The sequence below is a fragment of the Homo sapiens genome, chromosome 10, assembly GCF_000001405.40.
Source record: "Homo sapiens chromosome 10, GRCh38.p14 Primary Assembly".
Lineage (NCBI taxonomy): Eukaryota > Metazoa > Chordata > Mammalia > Primates > Hominidae > Homo > Homo sapiens.
In genome coordinates this window covers 80,602,467-80,620,598 of record NC_000010.11, presented here as the reverse complement: position 1 = coordinate 80,620,598, position 18,132 = coordinate 80,602,467, and the positions used below count along the sequence as shown (strand labels likewise).

The window sequence follows — 18,132 nt, the reverse complement described above, 5'->3', positions numbered from 1 at the left end:
TTGTACTCTTATTAGACAGTAAGCAACCTGTCCTCCCCAGGTACAACCCACATCCAGATTCTACATCCAGAGCCTTTGTATTGCTCTGTTCTCGCACTACTATAAAGACTACCTGAGAATGGGTAATTTGTGAAGAAAAGAGGTTTAATTGACTCACAATTCCACAGGCTGTACAGGAAGCATGGCCATTTTCCATGACCTTCATGGCTGGGAGGCCTCAAGAAACTTATAATCATGGCGGAAGGGTGAAGGGGAAGCGAGCACATCTTCACAGGTGGGCAGGAGAGAGTGAAAAGGAAGGTACCACACACTTTTAAACAACCAGATCTCATGAGAATTCACTCATTACCATGAGAACAGCAAGGGGGGGAACCGCCCCCCATGATCCAATCACCTTCCACCAGGTCCCTCTCCCAACATTGGGAATTACAATTCAACATGAGATTTGGGTGGGAACACAGAGCCCAACCATATCAGCCTTCCATGCACAATGACCTGGAGAACGTGTGGGCAAGGTGTGGATTTGTATAACCTGTTCCTGCCACAAAGCCTACTGAAGTCTCTCAGCAGACTGCTGTTTTGGATGAGCCAAGATATCATTTCCAAGTCCTAACCAATTTTAAGGCTGACCACAGTTCAAGAAGCAATGCCCAAAGAAGCCTGATGTGGAGGGTAAGGAGTGGCTGCAAACATCTGCAAAACGGAAGTGTGCCCAGACTCCAGGACAGAGTCTTTTCAGTTTGGGTAGATCCATCCCCAAGGACAAAGAGATTAAATATACTATCCTGTTGAAAGCTGGTGCTAAAGCCAAACAAAGCAATTTCCAATCATCTCTCTGCCACTATGGCCTGATCTTGAACAAGTAAATCTCTCTTAAGTGGTCAGATGGAATTACATTAGTATCACCCATAGTTATTGGCCATATTAAGTGAAACAATCCCAGGAGGACAATGGATGATAGGACCACAGTGGCTGCTGCAGCCAGGCCTTGGCCTAAGCCACAAAGTCCAAGGGTCAGTGGCAGAAGTGAACAGAGTTATAATTAAGGGAACTGAGGCAGAAGCCCAGCATTTAGATTGGGGGCCTTGATGGAGACTTCAGGAGAGACACATTTGGGCCCATCTGCAGGTGTCCAGAGCTTCTCTGGGCCCAAGCACCTGAGGCTGCCATACTGACCATAGCACTCCCGGTTGGGCCTCTGTAGAACAGGACAGGGCTGTGACACAGGGACAGAGATCCTTCAGGGTAGCTACCCTCTCTCCCATGGTTACAGGCTGCAGTGAGTAAAGATGAGAAGGCAGGGAATGCAGAAGAGCTGAGGAACACTGGCCTGACAAACAAGTCCAGGCTTGCTTTCACCCTTCCTGTGCCAGCACTGACTATCACAGGCAGGCCACTGCAGCCCCGCTGGCCCCACCTCAGTGCGGCCAACAGTGCCTAACTCCTCTGTTACTACACCCTGAGCACAAATCCCGGTGCATCCTTCCTGACACCTCCCCTATTCGTCTCCCTGAATTCCATACAGATGTTCTCAGATAGCACCAACAACTTCATGTTCACTATTACAATATTTACTCCATGGGCACTAATCAGCTGCACCCCGGGAAAGGAAAGGCATTGTAAGTATACTTTCAGAAGACACTCTGCAATAACAGAGCCATAAATCCGTATGTTAGCAAATCCTCAAAGCCAACCCAGAATTCTGTTCCCAGCCCCTCCACCTCCATTCCGTTCCCTGAAATTATTAGCTCAGAATTGAACCTGAGTAACCAAATGAGCTCTTTTTATTTCTCGGTTAGGACTTCACCCTCAAAAGAAAGAAACGCAGGCAGGCCAGCCACGACGTTTCACTTTTTATGGACCTCAATTTATCTGACGTGCATATTTCTTAAAGCTTTCACCGCAGCTACGCCTCAACGGCTGACAACACCTCCATTACCACTTAGCTATTTCTCATTCATTTTTGTGACTTTCCTTTCTGACCGCCATACTTTCCAGACAGTATCATTAAGGAGGCTGGAATTATTAAGCTCTTCATTCTCAACAGTATCTCAAAGCATCCTAAAGCCACAGAGATTGTGATGAATGAGCTCAAAGGCCTTCTTTTTTTTATAACGCCAAATGAAATTTAACCATGGCTAACTGCTCAGACAAGGGTTTCACTGGACGAGTTTCTTGGTCCCAGATATATTTATGCACAAGAGGCAATATCCATGCCTATGAATGTCTGCTCCAAGCTGACCTGCCAGGTTCTAATCACCAATGCTGCTGTTCATGAGAGAGTGGTATCACCCAGTAAAATGACTTCTGAAACTGGCTATGGCAAGATCCTGTATAATACTGACCTCCATTGGATGTATACATTTATGGCATGATTGTTTAATATCAGTCTCACTGACTAGACTGACAGCTTCGCTAGAGCAGAAGCCAGGTTATTTTTCCCTCTGTGGTGAACACAGATTGGTCTTGCCTGCCCAGTATCATTCAGTGGCTATCTTCTGGCAAGGGAACTGTGACCTTTTGGGACGCCACGTACTCTCAGTCTGTGCAGTTCCAATAGGGTGTTCTCCACCCACCTACTCTAGGCATGATCATATGACCCAGGGCTAGCTAATCAAGGCAGATCACCTGCCTGACCACAGTGACTGGTCCAGAAGTGAACATATGACCAACCCAGACCCAACAAAGCAGACTATTGGGACTAATACTGGGGCTGTTGAGAGACAAGCAGGCCCTTTCTTCTGCTGGATTTGAGCCTGGGAGAATGCAGGCATGCAACCTCAGGCTGATGCATTGCTTGGTAATGAAAACAACATAGAAAACAACAGAGCTGAGAGATGGAGAGAGTCTGGTTGCTGAAAAGCCTAAGCTCCCTGGATCAAGCAAAGCCTGAAGCTAGACCTATCTGTGGGTTTTTCAGTCTTATGAGCTGAAAATTCTCTTTTAGGTTACATCAGTTTGAATTTTTTGTTGTTGTTTCTCACAAGTGAATGTAAGTTCCATGAGGGTAGGGAAGGCACCAGTTTTGTTCATCACCACACACCCTGTACTTAGCACTCAACACAAACTTGACAGTAATAATCAACAAATGAATTATTTACATGCCTTTACTCAGGGAGTCTGTCTTCTCTTGCCCCTGTCTAGGTAACTCAACAATCTGAAACACACAATTCCCTGTTTTACCCTAATTGCATTAAGGACTTTGCAGACTATATGGGAACCCAGATGGCATTCTTCAGGAATTCTATAGGAGGGTGGCACCGGCCTCAGGAGGAGCAGACACTTTCCTGGTTAGCAGTAAGGCAGGGCAGTGTTGGCTCCACAGCCCAGAGATGGCTGGGCACCTCCTAAAGAAAATGGCCACCTCTCCACCCTCAAGGAGACCACCTGGCCTAGAAAGGAACTGATTCCCCAGAGCACCGTGTGCCCTGGAGCAGCTACTGAACCTTCCCCTCAGCTGTGAGATGGCAGCAAGGCTGCACTGCATCACAGGTAAGAGCATGGATTCTGAACCCAGATCACCTGGGTTTGAATCCCACCTCCCCCACTTACTAAAAACATAACCATGGGCAACTGACTTCACCTCTCTGTGCCTCAGCTTCCTCATTTGTGAAATGGGGCTAATGCTAGCAGCAAGTGCATGGTGATGTCACATAGGACTAAATCAATGAACATATGAGAAATGTTTAGAAGAGGGTCCAGCATACTGTAAGCACTATGTACGTAATGGCTACCATTATTACCCAGTCCAGAGAGTTGTTTGGGAAGTAAGTGAAATACTGGATGTTCAAGGTTTACTGGACACAATGCCAGCACAAAGTAACTGTTCCCAAATTATTAGTTAAAACACAAAAAGCCAATACAATCCCACAGGTGAGGCCAACCACCACATCCCATAGATACCAGCCAATGTACATCTGACAAGAAGTAAAAAGTCAGATGTCCTCTGCCCAGGGATGCCACTGATCCAAAAGGTACCTTCGTGCACCAGACAGACAGCCCCATACAGGATGCGAGGCTTGGAAGCAAAGTGGACACCAGAACTACAGATAGCTGATAGAAAAGGGTTAAAATTTCAGGAACACCATTACAACCTACGCTTTCCTACAGCAAAAATAGTCTCATTCTTCTTTGTAGTCTCTTTTGGAGACTAGATAGCCAGTGCACACCTGAAAAAAACATGAAGGAAAATATTCCTTTATTTTTCAGTTGGAACCGCTAAAGCAAGAACTTAAGAGGAAAGTGGGTCAACTGACCTACTTCTTTTTCTCCTTTAGAAAGTTTTGCATTTGAGGTCAGAGTTGGTAGAAAATTTCCATTCCAAATTCTGCCCAAGAGAAGAAAATTAGCAATCTCGCTTGCCATGATGGATTGTGACATGCTAACCAAGCTTCCAAATGGCCCCTGCGTTACCCCTAATGACTTTTAAAAAATATTTCAAGATGGGTATCATACTCATAATAGAAGAAAATTCAGACTTGCACTTTTTTTTTGGAAGGCTAAATCAGTGTCATCTTTCTTTTGTGCACAGGTCTTTTTCTTTATTTCTGAGTGATAGCAGTGACATAACTTAGTATGCCATAAAGAGATGAACCACCTTGCACGTGCCTCGGTTCCTGATGTGCCACCATGTTTGTCTATTCCATATAACAAACCAAAGCATTTATTGCATGACACCATGTTCTAAACACTTTAAAAATGTTGATACATTTAATCCTCACAACACTACTACGTAGTGGGTGTTATTATTTTCTCCACTCCTGGTTTCTTCAGCAATTCCTTGCTAAACACGAATTTTTAGTGCCTGGGTCCACACTGCCAAGATCCCAAGAACCCCATCTTAACTGTCCCCTCTCAACAGATTCCAAATCTTCACCAGCATTTCCTGTCTTCCTACTAATCCTGGAAGCCAAGAACAGGGGTTTGGACTGGCACACTCTCTCCCTCTTAGCTCCAGAAATTCTAGTTCCTGGGAGTAATCCCAAAGACCAAACAGGGCATCCCCAGATTTTCCCTCAAGCTGGGTCAGGAAACCAGTGCCAGCTCTGATTGCCAAGGTCAGGAATGAGGAGGGGTGAGATTTAAAATAAAGAACCCAGGCCGAGCCTAAAAGAAGTTCTCCGAATATACAGTAAGGGATTGTAAATGCAGAGAGGGCACTTTTCTGTCCCAGTTTCCATCCCTGGATGGCAGTATATGCAAAGAGACAGCCAGAATGGAATAGGTAAAACTAAGAGCCAGAAACCTGGTTTTTCATCCCAGCTCCCCTGCTGACTGCTGGACAAATGTGGGATAGTTTCTCAAGCTCTCTGGTCCTCAGTGGGGTCACCTGTAAAGGGCTAACCATGACCAGCTCTTGCAGTAATTGGCAGTGCCATGGGATGCAGGACTGCATGGCAGCATCAAGCCCGAGGATGGCAAAGGTCAGCAGCAGCCAGCCTGTCCAACCCCTTCCTGCTCCATACAGCTCAGACAGGAGACCTCCCTCCCAGTGCATGCAGTCAGAGGGGCCAAGCCCCAACTCCATTCCCACTCAGCTGCTGCCTCCCAGGGCACAGTTCTTTCCACCTCTCTGGGGGTTTCCTCCCTGCAGGATGGCCAGTGGGTTTGCCCCTCATCCACAGGGCTCCCAGGAGGGCTACCCAGGAGGGGATCACCATTGCTTACACCTCAGTTTCTATACCACCAACACAACATCAACGGAGAAATGAGCAAGGTGAAGTCCGACAGTCACAGGGTGGAGAACATCCTCAGTCCTCAGCCCACAGACTCCCAGGCACCTACCCTGTGGCCAGCCCCAGGCCCCGGCCAACCTTTCCAATGTTCATGACAACCTGAGCAAACTTCAGTGGCTTGGCAGGGGCAGGGCCCTGGAGCAATATCAGCAGTGTTTGCCCTCAGAACCACACTGCATGGCAGAGGTCAGGAGCAGAGGGTGTAAAGGCCCTCACTCCCCATTCTGGGGGGTTCGCTAGCCATCAAGACTGCCCAATAGCAAGGTGCAGCCATCAAAAATGCTCTTTCTTCTACTAAAGTGAAATGTGTTTCTTCAGAATCCCCATCCATCCCCAGGGATATGGTTTGGATATTTGTCCCACCCAAATCTCATGTTGAAACATGATCCCCAGTGTTGGAAGTAGGGCCTGGTGAGAGGTGTTTGGGTCATGGGGGCAGATTCCTCATGGCTTGGTGCTGTCCTCACCACAGTGAGTGAGTTCTCATGAGATCTGGTTAAGTGTGTGGCACCTGCCACTACCCACCTTCCTCCCACTCTCGCCACATGACATGCCTGCTCCAGCTTCGCCTTCTGCCACGAGTAAAAGCTCCCTGAGGCCTCCCCGGAAGCCAAGCAGATGCTGGTGCTACTTCCTGTGCAGCCTGCAGAACTGTGAGTCAATTAAACCACTTTTCTTTATAAATTACCCAGCCTCGGGTATTTGTTTACAGCAACACAAAAACAGCCTCACACACCTGGAGCCCAGTTTTGACCTTTTTAGCAATCCCCCTTTCTCAAGACAGAACTCCAGAGACTGAGGGGGTGGTTCTGTTCCTCTACCCATTCCTCCCCACAGCTTCTCCTTTCCAAGATAAACATTCCCGAAGTAATCATTAAAATGACTTCTGTGATTTATATTTCCTTCCCTTCCCTCAAACACAGCAATGTTTTGTTTGTGTGCTGTCATCCAAACAGCAATCCGGAGGAGTCTGAAGATGTGGGGCCCATTCTAGACCCTAGCAGCTCTGTGACCTTCAGTGCTCTTCTCTGAATGTATTCTGAGGTCACAGTGGAAGCAGGTGGGAAGAAGTGTCCATTCTACTTTGGAGCTCTCGCATCTCATAAGAAAGCTGCCCCTCACTGCTGGGATCCCTGCACTGTCTACATGGCTGGGGAGTATCCTCCTCCCAGGTGGGGTCCCCCGTTTGTGCTTGCTCACGAAGAAGCATGCCAGTAACACCCTACAGAGGACAGCCAAAGGCCCACCCAAGCCCAGGTGAGGCCACGCTTGAGATCCACTCCCAGCACCTGAGCAGGGTCACATGGAGATAATTTACCAATGCCAATGATGTCACCCACCGGGTAGTCCCATTCTGTGCCAAGCCCTATGGGCAAGCAGCAAGGCAGCCAATGGGTTGTCACCCAGACAATAAATCATAGACCACATTGTGACTGTTTTTGTAGAAGTAAAGCTCAGGAAGAGAAATGGGTTCTGACTGAGCCAATGTTCAGACAGAGAACATTCTTAATAATTTTAGATACATGTCGAATTTTGAAAATACCTTTTTCCCCAAAGCCAAGGTTATATGTACTAGCATTTCTCACAAGTAGTTTGATATAACTACAATCTCTCTCCCAATTCCTGGAACATAACAATGAACAAAGGAGAAACAAGGAATTACTATCACTCTTTGTAACCCAGGAGACTCTACCTAGAACCCTGTGGTCCCAGAGAAAAGCCTGTTCCCAGTCCCCTCTCACTCTGCACTCTGTGCCCATTTCCCCAAACCTGATTTCCCAAAGGAGCCTCTGGTGGTTGACCCCAGATCCCAGGAAACATCAGGAAACACACTGGCATGGCTTTTTATGGTGGACAAAGCACTCCTGTTGGCTCAATCTTCGTAAGTGTCCTGTGAAGTAGATGTTACAATGCCAGTTTCACAGATGGGGAATTTAAAGGACACATCCAAGGTCTCAGAGCCGCTAAGTTCTAGAATGGACCCCATATCTTCAGATTCTTTGTCTATTTGCTGTTTGGATAACACTGGCACAAATCCACATGTGTTTGAGGAAAGGGAAGGAAATCATTCGAGTAGTCATGTTTAACCTGCATATGAAATCTAACTGAATTAACTAAGACTCTTTTATCTGGGAAAGAAAAGATTTGTATTGGGATTCTGACAGATTATATTATTGGCTCAAATTCTTCTTCCCTCTCTGTTGCCACACCCTTTGACATAGGACTCTGCAGTTCCTCGTAAGAAAAAGACAGAATATATTTTCCCATTCCTCAGCTCTGTGAGGTACAAGGCAAAGTGACAAGGTGCTGGCTCTAAGAATAGGGCTCAAGAGCCTGGCATGCTTCCAGTTGCTCTCTGATGTCTGTCCTGTCACCATGAGAAGAGCATGCCTGAGCTGGCCCACTGGTCCCAGAAGAGTGTAATAGATCCATGGTGCAGAGATGCCCCAGCTGAGACGCCCAACCAAGCCCAGGGAGAGCCGAGTCCCCTGCCAACCTGCAGCAAAAACTCCTTAACAAATTAGACTGGTGCAGGCCACCTGCCTCTGTAGGAATTGGTACAGAGGAAGTCCTAGCCCCTCCACCAGGGAATTCCTATATTGAAAGAGAAGTGGGAACACACTCACTGTTCCAGACTTTGGGATTTTATAAGTGAGTAAAGTTGAAAAAAAAAAAAAAAAGCAGGAGTGGGGGAGGTCCCGGGCTGCTAACTTTTTACTTTTTCAAGCAAAGGCAATATATAAAAATAACCATGACTTACTATCCCATCAATTCATAAAAGATAGGACATTTTAACACTAAAACTGAGGAAAGGATATAATCTTAGAATATGACACAGTCCTTTCTAAGCAAAGTTACTTGGCCACCCTCCATATGTGAGCCTTTTTCTTTCCTTCTGTCACAGATCAGTGAAAATTCTGTCACAAAATAGCTCCAGCCTGTGTAACAGCAACTTTTCTGCATGCTTTATGGTAGAACTGTCAGAACATGAAATTAGCTACATAAATTGTGAGACTTAAATCTTGGTTCTGTTTGTTCTGTGACAATATAAAAGTTACCTTTTAAAAAAAAAAAAAGTCAAAAAAGAAAACAAAGCTAAAAATAATTTGAGCACCTTGGTCGCACCTTCTCCACTGGCTGCCAAAGGCAGTTGGAGCACCCGGCACAGCTGCCCACTCTCACCCACGTGCCACTCCTGAGTTACACTCCACAGCTCCCTAAGATGCCAGTGCTGCACTTCCATGACCATAGTAACGTCTGAAGAAAAAGCACAGTGGTGACTTAAATGGAAGTTCTACCGGGGCTACAGGGACACATAACTGGGACAGAAGGGAGAGGCAGAGAATCCCCAGCACCAGCTCCAGGGACACATGGCTCAGTCAGCCATGAGTGCTGTCTTCTCTCTGAGCCCTAAAGAGCCAGTCCAACCTTCTGCCAGATGTGTGGTGACCTGGGAGAAGAAAGAGGTCTGAAAGTGGACGGTGGTCATAACAGACTAGATTATCCTTCGAAACTATCCACTGTACCATGGACGCCACATTGGTTCTGGCTAACAGAATGTGAGCAACAACTTGACGTGTCAGTTTCCTGCAAAAGCTTTAGGAGCCAATGTGTGGTTCTCCAAGTCTCTCATTTCCCTCTGTCATGAGATCATCAATGTTTTTTTTTTTTTTTTTTTTTTTTTTTTGAGACTGAGTCTCGCTCTGGTTGCCCAGGCTGGAGTACAATGTTGCAATCTCGGCTCTCTGCAACCTCTGCCTCCCAGATTCAAGCAATTCTCCTGCCTCAGCCTCCTGAGTACCTGGGATGACAGGGGCCTGCCACCACACCTGGCTAATTTTTTAAAATATTTTTAGTAGAGACAAGCTTTCATCATGTTGGCCAGGCTGGTTTCAAACTCCTGACCTCAAGTGATCCTCCTGCCTCAGCCTCCCAAAGTGCTAGGATTACAGGCGTGAGCCACTGCGCCTGACTAACCATCAGCGTTTTAAATAGAGGCAGCTCCTTCAGGCTGAGGCGCAGACTAAAGTCTGAACCAACTCCCAAAGGGCACGTAACATGTGTAAGAAATAAACCTTGACTGGTGGGGGTCACTGAGACTTCAGAAGCATTTGTGACCGAGGTATATCCAATCTGACCAACATGACACGGATGCTATTCATTGGGTTGGAGAGCTCAACAGCAGTGGCAACAGAGGAAGATGGCAAGCTCATCTTGGAGGTATTTCTGTACTTGGTCCCTGGGTGAGAGGCAGGGGTGAGGGCTGAATACAGAGAGGCCTAATACATAGGTCCCTGACCTCACCAAGCATTAAGACCACCTGGGAAGGCTCATCTGACCCTCACATGTGTGGCTCTGGATTTTCAATGCAGAGAAGCAAGGGCTGTTCTTCGGAACTGTAAAGCCTGGGATCTAATCCCAATCCAAACATTTTCTTCCCACCTTCATCCATTCTTCCCATGGATACTTACTGAGCCAGGCACAGGGAAAACAAGCAAGCTCCTTAACCTCACAGGCTCACATTCAGGTGGGAGGACAGACAATAAGTAAATCTGATAAATACCAACTGGGCACACTCTGTCCAGGAAATGAGCAGGGTGAGCTGAGGGACACTGGGGAAGGCTGCTGTAGGTAAGGAGTTCAGGAAAGGCCTTTCTGAGGAGGGGATGTTTGAGATGGAAAATGAGAATGTGCCAGCCATGCAAAGAGCTGCTGGAAGACAGAAAATGTGAGCAGAGCCACGGCAAGCACAAAAGGTCTGAGATGGGAAAGAGGATGGCTTGTTTGAGGGACAGGAAAAAGGCCAGAGCTTTGGAAACAAGGTGAGCAAGGAGGGACTTTCAAGGAGCCACCCTGCCCTAACAGTCTATGTTTGGGTGACACTGACCTCTTCATTCAGCCATCTGTCATCTAATCAACAAGTATGTACCCAGAGCCTACAGTGTGACAGGCTGTGGCCAGGATCCAGGGATGGGGGTCCTAGCCACCAGCAGCTCATGCAACTCTCAGGGCTCACTGTCTTATGACCACAAAGAAGATGCCTCTGAGGGGCCCTTGGTGGCTACAGAGGCTGTGAGGTGACAGCAGTGGGCGAGAGCCATGTTCATCCCTTCCCAGAAGAGTTGGGAGGCCCGTTCAGCATCCCTGGGGCCTGCAGCCTCCTGGACTCCCACTGGGAGAGGGACAGAATGGAGATTGCTTAAAGTCCTCTGCCCCCTGATTATAACTGTCCTTCAGCACCCCTCCCCAACCCCAGAGAGAGGCAAAGATGTGGAAATCATCTGGCACAGGGCCCAGAAAAATGGTGCTACCATGGAACCAGGGGGCGATGAACTTGGTGTTCCTCTCGAAGCCAGCTCGGCGAGGCAGCTGCTCCTCCTTAAACCAGCGGACGATGACATCTCTGGAGACTGGGCGCAGCGGGCGCTCCCAGGTCCTGCTGAAGAGAAAGAAAGTGGGGAGGGCAGAAGAGTCAGGGAGGGAGAAAGAGCGGAGGGAGAGGAAGGCAGAGGGGAAGGAAAGAGGAAGGGAGAGGAAGGTAAAAGGAGGAGGAGGAAGGGGGGGTGGAAGAAGGGGCAGGGGAGGGCCATGAGAGAATGAATATGCTAAGCATGGTGCCCATATCCATGCCTACAAAGAGGATTAAAACAGCCCAGGTACTCGAAGGCATTTTGCAGATTATAATGTACCATCTGTTATTATTTATTTAAAAGAAAACTGTTACCGATTGCTTCAAAAAACAGCCACACAGGTGAGAATGAAAAGAGGCTAGGAGGGGGTGTCTGAGGGAAAGAAAAGGCACATTTTCCCTCGAGCACGGCCAGGGCATAAATACCAGCATGGATGAAGGAGGCTCCTGACGGAAAGTAAATGAGCGTGTCTCATCCCCTTCTCTCTCTCAGAAACAATTCTGGGTCTTGTCCCCTCCTTAGCTCTCCCTCCCCGCCCTCTGAGGGGACGCCTGCCTGTGCCACAACTCCTGCGCTTTTGTAAGGCAGAACCAGGGCAGTGAACAGAGAGAGAAGCTGGAGAACCTCAATTTGCTCTGGAAATGGCTGAGATTCCCTGCCCAGAAAATAAAAACTATGACAGAGGATACGGAGGCGGAAGGAAACAAAACCACACGTTGGTAACTACGGATGGAATGGGTGAGGGACTGAAGGCACGGAGGGCGGGAGGAGGAGGAGCACGGGAAGAGTTTAGACGAGGGAGTAGATACGTTTTAAAGTTTTCTCACAGGTGAGCCAAGCTCGTCATTGCTTTCGTGTCTGAACTGCGGTTCCCAGATGCTTACATAGACTTGGACACATGAGACCCCCCTGCACTCGGGCTACACTGAAAGCATAGTTAAGAGCTGGCAGCACACGACACGTGACAGGCACCCACAACTGTGTGGTAAAGTACAATGCAGTAACACCATGGTGCATGAAATCATGGCACAAAAATACAGCATCTGGGCCGGGCGCGGTGGCTCACGCCTGTAATCCCAGCACTTTGGGAGGCCAAGACCAGTCTGGCCTGATCTGCTCCCTCATCTAAACTCTTCCCGTGCCCCTCCTCCTCCCGCCCTCTGTGCCTTCAGTCCCTCACCCATTCCATCCATAGTTACCAATGTGCGGTTTTGTTTCCTTCCACCTCCATTTCCTCTGTCATACTTTCTATTTTCTGGGCAGGAAATCTCAGCCATTTCCAGAGCAAATTGAGGTTCTCCGGTTTCTCTCTCTGTTCACTGTCCTGGTTCTGCCTTACAAAAGCACAGGAGTTGTGGTGAAACCCCATCTCTACTAAAAATACAAAAATTAGCCAGGCATGGTGGCAGGCACTTGTATTCCCAGCTACTCAAGAGGCTGAGGCGGGAGAATCGCTTGAACCCAGGAGGCGGAGGTTGCAGTGAGCTGAGATCGTGCCACTGCACTCCAGCCTGGGCAACAGAGCAAGACTCTGTCTCAAAATAATAATAACAATACAGCATCTGAGGAACAAGGCAACAGCCCACCTTGAACAACCAAAGCCTCTTCGCCATTTCCAACTGAGTGACAGGAGACTGGTAAATTCTTATTTTGTTGTTGTCATCCACCTAATAGTACTGGCATTTAGAATTCATGGTTATCCTTGTTTTTTATAAAATCAATGTCAGCTGTCCTCTCATGTGGTCTCCATATTTGCCCTGTACCCTCACTTTGACACTGTGCTCAGCGTACCTCCTTATAAGCCCAGAATAAATCCGTGGGGCATTTCTTTACTCGCCCTAAACTGAATACATTCACACATGCACATGCATGCACACACACAGTAGTGAACACTGTAGATTTGAGAAAAGATGTTGGAAGGACAGAGGGTGAGGTTACATTGCATGGCTTACAGCTGTCATCTGTGGAGTTGGCCTCCAGCCCCTGTCTTCCCACTCGCTGCCACTCTGGGCTTTCCTTTACCCCCTACAGCCCTACAGAGAGCCAGCCTGTGTTCCCAGTCCTCACACTCTTCCTTCTCAGTAACCTCAGATGTCTTTCTTCTTCATTAAGCAGTGCAGGGCAGCCTGCTTCACCCAGCCTCTTCTTCCACATTTGCATCCCCCAAAAAATAGCTGTGCTCGGTGGAAAAACTCCTCTAGTTTCTAGGACTCGCTTTCCTTAGAAGGCAATAGGAAGTTATATGTAACAGCAAAAAATAAATTCACTCACTCTTGTCCCTCTGTTTCTAAGCAGTCGATTTGAATTCGTTTCTAAGCAGAGAGTTTCTAAGCAGGGAATCTGACTCCCCCAGAATATAAATGCTACATTTATATACCTTAAAATTTTGATCATTCTATATAAATTAGACAGTTTTCACTTCTTTTTTCTTTTTCAGCTAATCTATGGCATTTTCCCTTGTTATAAACCCTTCAAAGGAGTCACTTTTATTTTCAGAAAACATTCCAGTGAATTGACTTAACCAAAATTCACTGTAAACAATTACATTGCTTCTGACTTTTTGCCATTATTAATAATGCTATGATAATCATCTTTGCGCTTTTTCCAATTTGCAGATAATTTCCTTAGTATAGATACTGGCACTGAAATTACTAGCCAAAGTCATACCAGCAGTAAAGAGTAGGGCCTGGGTAAAAAGATATGTGAGCAGCTTGTATACTGGTCCACAAGAGCTGACTGTTAAATTTTCAGGAATTTTCTAAGCCAGTTGTTAAACACAGCCATCATTAAAAGATAAATGTAACAGGCCGGGCACAGTGACTCATGGCTGCAATCCCAGCACTTTGGGAGGCCGAGGTGGGCGGATCACCTGAGGTCAGGAGTTCAAGACCAGCCTGGCCAACATGGTGAAAACCTATCTCTACTAAAAATACAAAAAATTAGCCGGGTGTACTGGCGCGCGCCTGTAATCCCAGCTACTTGGGAGGCTGAGGCAGGAGAATCACTTGAACCTGGGAGGCAGAGGTTGCAGTGAGCCAGGATCGGACCACCACTGCACTCCAGCCTGGGTGACAGAGTGACTCAGTCTCAAATTTTTTTAGAAAAGTTAAATCTAATAAATGTGCAATTAAATAAATTTTATTAAAATAAGGATAATAAATACTCAAAACTAAAAAAAAAAAAAAAGAGTATAAATACTAGATGTGTATTCCACGAGGCCACTTGGCCCAAAGCCTCACTCCTGAATCTGAACCTCTCCTCCCATCAGCGGCATGCATCTGCTCTTAGCACAAACAGATGAGGTGTGCTGACAGGCGCCACAGAGGTGACAGCAGTGAGGCCATGGGCACCCGTCCCATGGGGCGGCTATAGGAGAGAGGCTGGTAGGAGGGCCCTCTCACTGCCTGGGCCTGCTGCCCTGTATGCACAGCTGCTTGTCCCCTTTGAGGCTCACTCTGGATGAGGCCACTGCTCCCCTATTGGCTGCACAAAGCCAGCCCAGAGCCAGGTTGCACCATGGTCCATGTGGCTCCATCAAATGGGCCTGAGGGACAAATTCTAGGTTTCTTTTAAAAAGCATAGATGAGGAGATGGCTTTTCTAACTATGCCCCCAAATTTAGAAAATATAAAAGAGGTCGGGTGTGGTGGCTCACACCTGTAATCCCAGGACTTTGGGAGGCCAAGGCAGGTGGATCACCTGAGGTCAGGAGTTCGAGACCAGCCTGACCAATATGGTGAAACTCTGTCTCTACTAAAAATACAAAAATTAGCCGGGTGTGATGGCACGCACCCATAATCCCAGCTACTCAGGAGGCTGAGGCAGGAGAATCACTTGAACCTGGGAGGCGGAGGTTGCAGTGAGTGACCGAAGATGGTGCCATTATACTTCAGCCTGGGAGACAGAGTGAGACTCCGTCTCAAAACAAAAAAGAAGATATAAAAGAAAATTTGACCTTGTAACAATCAAGAATTCCTGCATGACAAAAAATTTCATATGAAAATCAAAAAATAAGTGCCAAACTGAGAAAAAATGTTTATCACAGACAAAAGAATCCTCTTCCCTAATATGTAAGGAGTTCTTAGAACTCAATAAGGAAAAGACAACACAATAAAAAGATCATTTACAGCACATTGTATAGAATACTATGCACCTGTTAAAAAAAAAGCCTAAATAGATAATATAAGAATTGATATGAAAAGCCTTCTAAAAACTAGTTAAATGAGGGGAAAGCAATCAAAGTGCAGAACCCCATGCATAAAATGCAAACTTTTCCACAAAAAAAAAAGAGGAGGAATAAGGCCTTTCATGACGGTAACTGCAAAAACAAAGTGAGTGGATACATAAAAAACGAAGAACAGAGCCGGACGCAGTGGCTCACGCCTGTAATCCCAGCACTTTGGGAGGCCGAGGTGGGCAGATCACAAGGTCAGGAAATCGAGACCATCCTGGCTAACACAGTGAAACCCCATCTCTACTAAAAATACAAAAAATTAGCTGGGTGTGGTGGCGGGCACCTATAGTCCCAGCTACTTGGGATGCTGAGGCAGGAGAATGGAGTGAATCTGGAAGGCGGAGCTTGCAGTGGGCTGAGATCACGCCACTGCACTCCAGCCTGGACAATAGAGCAAGACTCTGTCTCAAAAAAAGAAAAAAAAAAAACTAAGAACAGTAGTGACCTCTGGAAGAAGGGGGAGTGGAGTAGATGGAGGGAGAGAGGGAGTCAGCCATTTCTCAGTATACCTTTTTAAACCTTCTGGTTTGGGAATCTTATACTTGACAAGAAAGGAAAGGGTGGGAAGGGGGGAGGGGAAGAAATGAAGACATCAACTGTCCCTAGACTGCAGGCAGAGGCAAAGCAAAACTCAGACACCCCTTCATTATCTGGGGGTGACTGGACTCTTCTGCAGATTACCTGAGGTTAAAGGAGCAGGCAGGTGCTCACCACCCAGCCTCTGGCCCTCCTGGGGACAGTGGTTGTTCAACAATGATGAGGGAAGGAGGGCACCCAAGAGGAGAGAGGCCAAACCTTGGGGTGGCCTAAGGTGGGGGCAGGTAGAAAGAAGAGAGGTTCCCTGCAACCTCCTAACCTTTGGTCCTGGCAATTTCGGACAGTCACCTAAGTGCCCTTGCCAAACAAACCCTCAGGGGACACAAATGTGTGTGAGGACCCGCCTGCAACCAACCATGCTAAACTGCAAACCTACTATTCCAATTGGAGAAAAACTGGCTTGCCTGGGGCTCCGACAGGCAGCAAGCCCTGGTGTCCAGGCTGCCCGGCCATGCTTTACCCATCTGAGGTCTCACTACAAGTTCTTAGCCGGAGGCCCTTAGAGTCTCAAATTGTATGCAAACATTCTAGATCTTTATATATGCATATTTGAGGGGGAAGAAGGTACACCGCTTTCTTCAGATTCTCAAAGGAATCCTTGACCTTAAAAAGGTCAAAGCTCCCAGAACTCCAAAGTTATTACAAATCTCCAACTCCCACATCTCTCCTCCCTCTCCTACCCTAGACTAGGGCTGAAGTCCAGAGGGGAAATGCTAGCCCCAAACTACACAGCAAATCTGGGGCAGACCCGGGACGGGGACCCCGGTGTCCCATGCCCTAATCCAAGGCCCTTGCCCCAACCACACCAACACGGAGCCTGGACCCACCTGACCGGCAGGGCAAGGGGCTGCGGCAGACCCGGGTCGGGGAGGTGGTGGTAGAGTCTTGCCTCCTGCTCATGGCTCTGGCCAAGCTCCCGGAACATGGAGCTGAGGCCAGCGACCGTGCCCTTCTGGATAGCACGGAGCGAGTGGTGTCGGTACTCGTCCCGGGCGCGCTGGGCTCGGCGGCTCCTCTCCTCATCAGCCGCCTTGGACCGGCGCACTGGAAAGAGGAAGACAGCACGTTAGCCCAGATCCGCAGCCCAGGCGGTGCACTGCGCCAGCTGGGACAGGAAGTATTTGGTTGGTGCAAAAGTAATTGCAATGTAGTGGCAAAAAATCGCGATGACTTTTGCACCAACCTAATAGTCCAGGAACCTCAGGATTCACCTGGCTGCAAGGAAGCTCAGAACCCAGAATGACAGAGCAGGCCCCGCCCAGCCCTAGCAGCACCCCTAGGGCAAGCCTGTCCCTACAGAGGTAAAGATACCCTGACGGTTTAGGGTTGTCTGGTTGTTCCTGTGACGCCATTCCAGAATGGCCAAGCCACCTTGGGGTGGAAATTTCCATCTCCCTATCTATTTCTTCCTGGGAGTGCCCTGCTCAGAGCAGCTCCTCAAATCCTCTGCCCACTCAGCTCACCCGTCAAGGTGGCCAGCATCTCCAGACACTACCACCGTCACCCACATTGACAATGCCAAGCCCTGGGCTTGGTGCCTTCCCTGCATTATCTCACTAAGGGACTTCCCCCAACCACCCAGGCAGGGAACATCATTATTTCTGCTTTATGGGTGAGGAAACCAGCCTCTGAGAGGTTAAGTAACTAGCCCAAAGTAAATCAGCTCATAAGGAGCAGAGCCTGGACAGAAACCCAGGTGTGCCTGGCTCTAAAACCCACACTGTTCTTTCCACCCCGTGGTCCCACCACTCAAGCAGCTACCTTCGATTTAAAACCCTGTGTATCTGACACCAGAGCTCTTTCCTACTAAAAAACAAAGGAGCATTTAAAGACCATCTGGCCCAACCTCCTCATGTTATTCATGTGGAAACTGAGGCTCAAGGAAGGACAGCAATTTGCCCAACTGGGTTAATGGACCAGGCCAGAAACTGTCCTTCCTGCTACCACAAGATGAGTTGTTGGAAACACTGGTGTCCCAGTTCTGGAACCCTTTCTTGGTTTCCCATGACCTTGAGAGCTGGTAGGTGACTGTGTGGGCAGGGAGGGGGAAGAGGATCTTCTGCTAACTCTAACAGCTTACGAGACTCCAAGACACCCCGCTCTCTAGCCCTCTGTCTTCACATACACATATATTAATAGATGTGTATATATTCATT

At 47.8% G+C, this 18,132-nt stretch overlaps 1 protein-coding gene across 3 annotated transcripts in view; it reads right to left on the bottom strand.

Annotated features, from left to right (window-relative positions):
- SH2D4B (SH2 domain containing 4B) overlaps positions 1 to 18,132 on the bottom strand; it is a 108,659-nt gene that overhangs the window by 25,962 nt on the left and 64,565 nt on the right. For 2 of the 3 annotated variants that reach the window (NM_001388272.1, NM_001145719.1), the window contains exons 5-6: positions 16,804 to 17,020; positions 11,048 to 11,175 (exon numbers count right to left, since the gene is read on the bottom strand). In NM_001388272.1, the coding sequence (NP_001375201.1) occupies positions 11,048 to 11,175; positions 16,804 to 17,020 (345 nt within the window). The remainder of the gene's footprint in view (positions 1 to 11,047; positions 11,176 to 16,803; positions 17,021 to 18,132) is intronic. The other variant, NM_207372.2, reaches the window with a different exon arrangement.